The sequence below is a fragment of the Homo sapiens genome, chromosome 16 (genome assembly GCF_000001405.40).
Source record: "Homo sapiens chromosome 16, GRCh38.p14 Primary Assembly".
Classification (NCBI taxonomy): Eukaryota; Metazoa; Chordata; class Mammalia; order Primates; family Hominidae; genus Homo; species Homo sapiens.
This window is the reverse complement of record NC_000016.10, coordinates 66,440,207-66,450,940: the sequence shown is the minus strand read 5'-3', so window position 1 is coordinate 66,450,940 and position 10,734 is coordinate 66,440,207. Positions and strand designations below refer to the sequence as shown.

Sequence of the window (10,734 nt, the reverse complement as noted above, 5' to 3'; positions counted from 1 at the left end):
GATTCCTTTTCAGTTCAAAATATGCAAGCCACAGCAGCTGCTGAATGGAAATGTGTGATATTTACCTAGACTGTCTTTTAATGATGACTCATATTATCAGTGCTTTTGATACCTCTGCTCACCTATGCTTCAGTGTAGGTGTCCCTTGAATACTTCTCATCCTGCAAAGATTTTTTCTTTTTCTTTTCTTTCTTTCTTTCTTTTTTGATTTTTGAGACAGGGTCTTCTTGCTCTGTCACCCAGGCTGGAGCCTGGAGTACAGTGGCACAATCATAGCTCACTGCCGCCTTGAACTCCTATGCTCAAGCGATCCTCCTGCCTTTGCCTTCCAAGTAGCTGGGACTATAGGTGTGTACCACCACACCTGGCTAATCTTAAAATTTTGTTTGTATACACAGGGTCTTGCTATGTTGCCCAAGCTGGTCTCAAACTCCTGGCCTCAAGCGATCCTCCCGTTTCGGCCTCCCAAAGTGCTGGGATTACAGGTATGAGCCACCCCATCCAGACCCATCCTGCAAAGATTTTTGCAGTAGTAGAAGTATAGGTCTTGGTTATTGCAGTACACTTAGAAACAGACCCTCATTCAGCCTTTGTATGTTTTTTTCAGTCTGTTCTAAATCAAAGCCAATCAAAGCCAATGTCAGACAAAGGGAAAGTGCTGTGAGCACCTATGTTCTCCTGCATGTGTTTCATCAGCTTGCCATCCCCACGGCTCTCGTAATAAGACAATCGTGTAGAGCTGGGGCTTTCATTCTTGCACAGTGAAAAATAAGCCCCACTGCAGGAGAAACCCTGGATGTGCTAAGATTGAGCTAAAATTGATATTGAAATGATATGTAAACATTTGTTAAGTCAGATACTGAACTTCAGCCACTCTTGTGGTTACACTATTTAGTTCAGTGTTTTTATTTAATGCTTAGGATAATTTCTAGTTTGAAGGAATTTAAAGAGCACTTCCCAGGTTTCTGAATATACAAATTCAGTAATAAATTACATAATGTCTGGGAATTTGATCATCATATTATTTTAGATAATTGGATCTTACACTTGGTAGACACGCCAGCACACTAGTATTGCAGGTGTAATTGATCATCCTACTCCCTCACAAGAATAATATGGGAGCAATGCCACAGTGCTCTATTCTCACTGTTTAGAGTGTGTTGGTGACATATTGCGTGTGTATAATAGCCACACATACTCATAATAGTCCTTGAACTATTGGGATCACTGCTGATATTTTAAAGCATTGGAGGTACCTTTTATCTTGAAAAAATATAATCTTTTTGAAAAACTTTAAATTGTTTCATTAGTGATTTTTTTTTTTTTTTTTTTTTGAGATGGAGTCTCACTCTGCCACCCAGACTGGAGTGCAGTGGTGCGATACCGGCTCACTGCAACATCTGCCTCCTGGGTTCAAGAGATTCTCCTGCCTCAGCCTCCTGAGTAGCTGGGATTACAGGCATGCACCACCATGCCCACCTAATTTTGTATATTTAGTAGAGACGGGGTTTCTCCATGTTAGCCAGGCTGATCTCGAACTCCCGATCTCAGGTGATCTGCCCGCATTGGTCTCCCAAAGTGCTGGGATTACAGGTGTGAGCCACTGCACCCGGCCCATGAATGATCTTTTAAATTTTAGTTAACTTAAAATCTGAATTGTTTTTTTGAGACAAGGTCTTGCTCTGTTGCCCAGGCTGGAGCGCAGTGGTGCACTCACATGGGTGAATCTCACAACATAATACTGAGCAAAAGTAGCCAGACCTGAAAGAAAACATACAACTCCATATATATAAAATTCAAAAATAAGCAAAACTAATTTACGGTGACAAAAGTCAAGTTAATGTTTACCCTTGACATGGGATAGTGACTGGGAGGACACATCAGGGGAGTTCTAAGATGCAAGTAAGGATGTGTTTATCTTCTTCTTTTTTGAGACAGGGTCTCACTCTGTTACCCAGGCTGGAGTACAGTGGCAAGATTGTAGCTCACTGAAGCCTTGAACTCCTGGACACTAGCAATCCTCCTGCCTTAGCCTCCCAAAGTGTTGGGATTACAGGCAGTGAGCCACTGTGCCTGGCCAAGGATGTGTTTCTTTTCTTTCTTTCTTTTTCTTTTCTTTTTTTTGAGACAGAGTCTCGTTCTGTTGCCCGAGTGCAGTGGCACGATCTCGGCTCACCGCAACCTCTGCCTCCTGGGTTCAAGAGATTCTCCTGCCTCTGCCTCCCAAGTAGCTGGGACTACAGGCATCCGCCACCACACCCAGCTACTTTTTGTATTTTTTAGTAGAGACGAGGTTTTGCCATGTTGGCCAGGCTGGTCTTGAACTCCTGACCTCAGATGATCTGCCTGCCTCAGCCTCCCAAAGTGCTGGGATTACAGGTGTGAGCCACCGCACCCAGCCGTGTTTTTTGATATGAATGTGTTCAGTTTGTGAACATTCCTTGAGCTTGCACTGATGGTTGGTGCACCTTTCTGTATGTATGCTATATTTAGTGGTATGCTGGCAAACCAGCTTTCAGGAAAAAAAGAAAAAGAAAGGAAGAAAGAAAAAAAGAATCCCTGATTTGTACCGTTTGTCATTTTCCACAGTGTAAACACTCTCACTGTGGTGAATTTCAAGTTACCAGTGGTTTAGCAACTGGCTCATGAAACTCCTGCTTATTTAGCTATTGGCTCTTGTGAGCTGGTATTTCTACTAAAAACAACAACAAACAACAACAACAACAACAGCAAACCCTAGAGCATCTCTCTAGGAAAGGAATTCTCGGTTCTTGCTGTAGATGTTCAGAGATTCTCCTAGTGTCTTGGGGCCTACAGGGGAGGGATTGCAACAGGCAGGAGGGGAAAGTTTTGCTGGTCTGACTGTCCACTGCCTCCTAAGTGGCAGGTGGGGACAGGGTTGTGACATCTGTCTTTTTAAAGATGTGCCTTGGGTCACAGTTTTACTTTCCAAAGAGGGCTTCTCCTCTGCATCTTCACTGAGAACAGAGCAGCAGGCTCCCTCCTGGGGCATTTTCCACATTTATGTAGAAAGAGCACCTTATGTGGACTCAGGATGGGAGGTTGAAGTTTCAGCCACTAACATACTGTGTGACCTGGTCCCATTCCTTTCTGGACTAAGTTTCCACATCTGTAGTGTGAGACAGTTAGGGTAGAGCCCCAGGGTAAGACTCACAGGCTTGGCAGATGACCTCTTGCAACCAACCTATGAGGTAGGGAGAATCTATTTGCCTGAGTTACTCCATCAGGTGTTGGTGATGGGGTCAGGCACAAGGCTGGCACCTGGCTGGTCCCTGCTGGAACTTGGCAAATGCAGGTGGGCCACCTTGCCAAGCTGCCTCTCAATGCCAACCTGGGGCTGGTAGGGAAGGGAGAGAGAAGATGTGTTCTCTCCCTGGGCAGTCTGGGGAGAATCCTGCAGGGAAGACTGAGTTAGTTCTGCAACAGTCACTGTAGGATAAACACTCTGAAAAAGAAAGAAAAGAACACATGCTCACTGAGCACCCCTGTGTTCACCAAACCCTCATAGTCACATTGGAAACTAGGTCTAATGATCCCATTTTACAGGTGAAAAAACAAAGGCTCAAAAGATTGAAATACGTTTGCTCCAGCGGTTTTCAAACCTGGGTCTCTTAGCTCTTGCTGTTGTTACTGCATGAGGCCACATTCACCTCCAATCCTCTTCCTTAGGCCCATTCCTAGGGGACACAAGTGCCACCCAGGTATGAAGGCACCCGCAAACTCCTGGGCTCAAGTCATCCTCCTACCTCAGCCTCCCGGGTAGCTGGGTCTACAGGCATGTGCCACCATGCTCAGCTAATCTTTAAATTTTTTGTAGAGACAGGGTCTTGGTATGCTGCCCAGGCTGATCTCAAACTCTTGAGCTCAAGTGATCCTCCTGCCTTGGCCTCCCAGAGTGCTGAGACTACAGGTGTGAGCCACCACAGCTGGCTGGGTTCCTCTCTCTTGTCTTTGAAGCATGCAGGCTGCATGCTTCTGCAGTGACACCTGCAGAGGACAACCAGGCTTTCCCAATCACCTGGGCACAGGTCCAGATGCAGAGCTGAGAATCAGGGTAGCTAATTTAGGGTAGCCCTTGGCAGAGAAACAGAAATGTCCTTACTCATTCCTGTTAGTAGGAAAATCCCTCCCCCAATGCACTTGGCTGGCTTTGGGGTGCCATGGGTGACGACCCCAGGGGATCTTGCTTTCCCTGGCAAGACTTCTAGATACAGAAATCATTTTGCCCTTCACCAGCCCAAGACTCAGTCTTTTGACCCTTCCCTTCCCCACATTCCCACACTTGCTCCCTGGGTGATCTCATCCCACTTCACAGCACTGAGCGGCATTCACACACTGACAGTCCTCAAATTTACATCCCCAGCTCCAGACTCTTCTCTGAACCCCACATTCACGTACCCAACTGTCTGCCCTGTATCTCCACTCCAACGCCTGCAAAGCGTCTCAGACAAAACATGTCAAAACTCTGCATCTTGACTCACAGCCCCCCACCAAACCTGCCCATAATATTCCCCATCTCAGCAAATGGCAGCTCAGTCCTTCACGTTTCAAGCCCCAAACGCTGTCCTTTTTGACCCCTTCCTTATCCACCCCAAATCCAATGAATTTGGAAATCCTAACAGTTTCACCTTCAAATCTGATCCCATATTGACACTTCCACTATGAACCTCCTGGTCCAAGGTACCATTGTCATCACCTAGACCACTGTCCCCCCTTTTTTTTTTAGACAGAGTCTCACTCTAAGAGTCTCGCTCTATCACCCAGGCTGGAGATCAGTGGCATGATCTTGGCTCACTGCAGCCTCTGCCTCCCAGGTTCAAGCGATTCTCATGCCTCAGCCTCCCGAGTAGCTGGGATTACAGGCGTGCCCCACCACACCTGGCTAATTTTTGTATTTTTAGTAGAGACGGGGTTTCACTATGTTGGCCAGGCTGGTCTTGAACTCCTGACCTCAGGTGATCCATCGTCCTCGGCCTCCCAAAGTGCTGGGATTACAGGTATGAGCCACCTGGCCTGGACCATTGTCTTAACCTCCTAATTGGTCTACTTGCTTCCAACTGGGTCCTCCTCTAGCCTCTTCTACTACAACCAGGATGATCAGGTCCCTTCTCAGCTCAAACCCCTCCAATGACTACTTGATTAGATGCCAAAGTCCTCCCACGGCTTCCAAGACCCTACATCATCTGGTCCCTACTGCCTCTGGTACCTTTCCTCTCCTCCTCTTCAGGCACCCTGGCCTTCATGCTGTTGATGGATCAAGCCAAACCTGCTCCTGATTCAGAATCCTCTGCCTGGACCCTCTTCATCTAGACACCTGTATGGCTCCCTCTCTTCCCTCTAGCAACTTCTGTTCCAGTGTTACCTTCTTGGTGAGCCTATGCCCTGACCCATCACCTCACTCTGCTTTTTTTTTTTTTTTTTTTTTTTTTTTTTTTTTTTTTTTTGAGACGGAGTCTCACTCTCTTGCCCAGGCTGGAGTGCAGTGGTGTGATCTCGGCTCATTGCAAGCTCCACCTCCCAGGTTCACGCCATTCTCTTGCCTCAGCCTCCTGAGTAGCTGGGACTACAGGCGCCCACCACCACGCCCGGCTAATTTTTTGTATTTTTAGTAGAGACAGGGTTTCATCGTGTTAGCCAGGATGGTCTCAATCTCCTGACCTTGTGATCTGCCTGCCTCGGCCTCCAAAAGTGCTGGGATTACAGGTGTGAGCCACCACGCCCGGCCACCTCACTGTGCTTTTTTTGTCTTTGTAGCTCCTCCCCCAATTTGACATATTAGATATTCATTTGTCTGTTTGTGTCTGTCTCTTCTGGCTATGTTGGCACCATAAGAGCTGGGACTTTGCTTTGTTCAAGGCTGTAACCCTGGCACCCAGAAAGATTTCAGCATGTAGCAAATGCTCAATAAATATTTGTTGAACGAATGAATAAATGAATGGAAGAGGATGCCTGATATCAGGGATGACTGTCCACAGTTTACAATAGGAACCATGATGGAGCGGTGCTGCAGATAACCCAGCCTCAGGCTTCATTCTGGCTTGTGGAACCCATGGCCAGCTTGAACTGGAGGGCGGCAATGCTCCCGCCACAGTGCCGGGCATTTGGCACATATTAGCTCAAGCCCCCACCTCCCGCTCATGGCAGGTAATCCTCATGGTAACTCTCACAGCACTGGGATACCCCCATTTTACACCTGGGGGAACTGAGGCTCAGGGAGGTCAGGTAGTACACAAATGATGTGAGCAAGATTCAAACTCAGGTCTGTGTGCTCCAAAACACAGCTCCAGTTACCCTCTCCTGGGCTGTTGGCGAGAAAGACACAGATCAAGTCAGTGTCCTCAAGCCCCAGTTCCCAGAAAGACCTGCCAACAATTGCAAATTTCACAGATGGGTTAGGTCTTTGCCACCCACTCTCTCTGTCTTCCTCCCCTCCATCCTCCCCCTGCACTGTGACCAGCAGGGACCACCGAGGGGACCTGCCTCCAGCCACCTGTCATTGGCTGGCTCCACCTGCAGCCTCAAAGCCCCGCTACAAGCCATGGAGGCTGATGTTCCTCTGGCCTGCAGCCCTCACTTGCCCTTTGTCCTGGAGGGAGGTCAGGAAGGAGGGGCTTGAGACCTCTCTATGAGGAAAGGGAAGGATCAGATTGGGGAAAATCTAAGTTCAGAGAACAAAGGGAGCTCTGGGGAAGAGCTCAGGAAGCCCTTCCTTGGGGCATGGTGGACACAGGGGAAGAGCCACCCAGCCGCTATCAGGCAGGGCTGCCACCAGGGACAGTGAGCTCACCACCAGGGGACAGTGAAATGCAAGCACTTTGCCAGCATAGAGTGCTCTGCAACAGTTGGGGCTATTAAGACTGCATTTAGTCCTCCAGCCAGGTTGAATGCCCTCTTGCCAGAGACCTGAATATGATATGATTGTGCACTGAAAATTAAGATGAGCGGGCTGGGTGCAGTGGCTCATGCCTGTAATCCCAGCACTTTGGGAGGCCGAGGCAGGTGGATCACTTGACGCCAGGAGTTTAAGACCAGCCTGGTCAACATGGTGAAACCCCATCTCTACTAAAAATACGAAAAATTAGCTGGGGGTGGTGATGGGCACCTGTAATCCCAGCTGCTCGGGAGGCTGAGGCAGGAGAATCACTTGAACTGGGGAGGTGGAGGTTGCAGTGAGCTGAGATTGTGCCGCTGCACTCCAGCCTGGGTGACAGAGCAAGAGGAGTTTGTATTAAAAAAAAATTAAGATGAGCTAGCAATAAAATTAAGATGAGCTATCAAATGCCGAGTACTCACTAGGGTCAGACTTTGTGCTAGACCAGAGAACTGTGAGGAGGGGCAGCTAGGATGTTCAGGGGCCATGAAGTCCTGTGGCAGAGTGGATTCCTCACCCCTGCTGTGGCAATGAAGGAGTAGATTTGGCTCCACCCTTGTCCTTTTTCCAGCTGTGGTTTGGCTAAGATTGAGCCCTGGACAAACTCACTTGGGGCGTAGCCCTGACCGCACCATTTTCTAGCTGTGCCATCTAGACTAATTTCTTCATCTCCTTTAGCCTCAGCTTCCTCATGTGTGGAATGGGCACACTGACCCCTCCCTTGCAGGACTTCTTCAAGGAAGCAAGGAGGCCACATAAAGAAATGATCATAAGGCCTTGTAAATCCTTCACCTGTGATATCTTATTTGATCCTCACAGCAACCCTCAGAGACAGAGCACTGGCTGAAGTCACTCCCTCCATCCCCTTGCTCACTCCAAAGTCACACTTCAGCAAAGGATGGATAATGGTTTCATTTCACAGGCTAGAGATCATTGGGCAGTGTCTGCATGTGTTCCAGCTCAGTGGGAAAGAGTGCTACAATTGATTAGTGATGTCTGCTCTGAGCGCAGAAGTGGTGAATTTTGCAGTGTGTGCCATCGTTTGCCCTCCTTGCCCTCAAGTCCTTTCTTCTATTGGTAGCTAGGTCTCTGCAGAGATAACTGTCACAATGAGCAGAGCGAAAAACACCAACATCTGGTCTGAACCCCAAATTCATCTCCAAGAGTCCCTATCTCTCTCTATTTCCCCCTCTCCCTCAATACAGACCTGTGTAGGGAGAAGGTAGCCAAAAGGACAAGACTTTCAAATTTCTTGAGCATCTTCTCAGTGCCAGGCACCAAGCTAGACTCTCCGTGTAGCATGTCAATTTCGAGCACCAAACCAAAAGGGTGCTATTGTTATTCCCATTTTATAGATGAGCAAATTGAGGTTTTTAGAAATTAGGCTGCTTGCCCCAGCTGATAAGAAGCAGGGCCAGGTTGCACTGGAACCCACACACTGTATATCATACCATCTCTGAGGGAGATCCAAGCCCACCCAGAGGCCTTGCCTGGCTGCGATTCCTGCCAGCCTGCAGGCAGCCACCATGAGCCCAGCAGAGACAAGCCCCACTTGACTTCTCTGTGGATGATCAGATGCTACCTCCCACCCTTCTTCTTCCTGCTTTACTACAGACTTAGTCTCTTCTGGGGCCCCCAAACCCCTCCTTCCTTAGATCTGTTCCCAAAGGCCAGAGGGAGGCGGGCTGCCCCATCTTTCAGGGAGCTCCACGGAGCTGCCATCAGCTGGTGGCAGAAAGAGGTTGTGAAGCATCTGCTCTTGGAGCCTGCATCCTGGGGGAGTCCTGGGCCACCTTTCCCAGCTGGGGCCTGATGGAGAAGGCTCCTCCACCTCCAGCCTTCCTGAAGAGCCAGGCTGGTTCTCCTACTCACTCAAGGCTTGAGGCAGGTCCTCTGAAGGCTGGGAAATGGCTCACAGGCTTGGTATTTGCTGGCAGAGAAACTGATCTCCCTCTTGCAGCCACTTGGCCAAAACCCCTCTGGGCTGCCCTGGGTCAGGGTTTGACTGCCTCCCCCTTTCTTGTTTTTGCCTCCTTCCTCTGCCTTGGTCTTCTCATCTGCCAAATTGAAAGGAGGGAGTTAATAAGAGCTGCTGGCACTATCTCCATGAGGGGCAGGGATGAGCTGAAATGCCTGAAAGTAAGACGGTGTTGAGGGGTGGGGAAGTTGGGGTGTGAGCAGTGCCTAGGAGGGGTCAGCCCAGCCTGGCCGATTAATGCCTGCTGGACTCCTGAGGGGCTGATGGACAAGCCTGCTCCCCCAGGGCCTGCAGCCATGGAAGCTGGCAGACCTGGGTTACAGGTGGGCTGGTGCCGCTCACCTTGCCACCTTGCACTTGGTGGGCATAGCTGTTCACTTTCTCCAGACCTCACGTGCACTGACTCCTAGGGGCAGGGTCTTGCTTGGGAAACGTTTGGGCTTGTTTTACCTTCTGCAGACTTTTCTGGCTACTCTTCTAACCTGGCAGGGAGTAGGGGTGGAGAAGCCCAAATGGGAACAGGGTGGGGCTCCTACTCTAATTTTCCCATTTTGTGGGGGCTTCAGTATCTTCACATGTACCTGGCAAGCTTATTTTGGGGGCTAAGGAAGTTAAAGGAATTCTGTATGTATCTAAGTGCACAACAGCTCCAGATCTGGAATGAGGAATTAAAAACAGGGGTGTGTGTCCATGTGAGTGCCCTCCTGGGATTTCCGGGTTTCCTTCCTGAGTGTTCCTATGTCTGTTTTGGGGGGTCTGGAGCGCTCAGGGTCCAGCATCCCTCCCAGAACCTGTGTGAGGGCCTCTGGTCTGTGAGCCATGGAGGCTGTCCACAAAGCATTTGCTTCATCTTGACTCATTCGCTTGTTCAGTTGCTCAATAAACACTGAGCACCTCCTATGTGCCAGGCACTGAGCACGGTGGTGCGGGCGAACTGGGAACCCAGCAGGCATGGCCCCTGCTTTCTGGATGTTCACCGTCCACTGGCGGCACGAACAAGTGAACACGCAGAAGAGACTTAATGAATGAGCAATTTCTAGATTGATCTGAAGTGGGGGCCGAGATGGGGGCCAGGTCAGAATGATGATCTGTTGAGCCAATTCAGAACCCCAAGGGTCTCCTTGGGCAGCTGGCAGTGATGGATGTATGATAGGAGGGGAACTGAGGTTCATTTCCAGATTTCTGACTTGAGCGCCCCAAACCAATACAGCAAAATCAAGCAAAGCTGGCCTAGAGAGGAAGACAAAGAATTCAGTTTGGGTCAGGTTGAAACTCAGGTTAGGGGTAGGGGCTGCCCAAGGCAGACAGACAGCAGGAGGAAGAAGGAATAGAAAGCCCAGGAAGAAACTAGGGTGGGAGAGACTGTTGGAAGCTACTGGCCTAGAGGCTGCCGCTGAAAGCGGTGAGGCTGAGAAGGTCTGGGGCATGCACAGCGAGAAGGGCGGGGGCTGCACTGGAGCCCTGGGGGCCCAGCATCCCAGGGCAGGTGCAGGGAGAATCCCTGCTCTTCCACCACTGCCAAAGGAGACCACGAATGGAAGGTCAGATGGTCTGAGAGGCTGGCTGGAGGACACAGGGAGGACTCTGAGTCAGGGAACCCAAAGCAGGAGAAGTCATCACAAACAGAAGCACCCAGCAGGGGCCAGGCACTGTGGCTCACGCCTGTAATCCCAGCTCTTTGGGAGGCCAACGCAGGCAGATCACCTGAAGTCAGGAGTTCGAGACGAGCCTGGTCAAATGATGAAACCCTATCTCTATTAAAAACAAAAAAAACTTAGCCAGGTGTGGTGGTGGGCGCCTGTAGTCCCAGCTACTTGGGAGGCTGAGTCAGGAGAATCGCTTGAACCTGGGAGGCGGAGCCTGC

General features: G+C 49.6%; 1 protein-coding gene across 6 annotated transcripts in view; it reads right to left on the bottom strand.

The window, feature by feature from the left end:
* BEAN1 (brain expressed associated with NEDD4 1) overlaps nucleotides 1–10,734 on the bottom strand; it is a 67,994-nt gene that overhangs the window by 44,348 nt on the left and 12,912 nt on the right. Inside the window, exon 3 of one of the 6 annotated variants that reach the window (XM_011522894.2) lies at nucleotides 2,332–3,466. The exons of the other annotated variants lie outside the window; for them this stretch is intronic. Within the exon in view, the coding sequence (XP_011521196.1) occupies nucleotides 3,245–3,466 (222 nt within the window). The 3' untranslated portion in view covers nucleotides 2,332–3,244. Of the gene's footprint in view, nucleotides 1–2,331; nucleotides 3,467–10,734 lie in introns of those variants that run through there. 6 annotated transcript variants of the gene reach the window in all.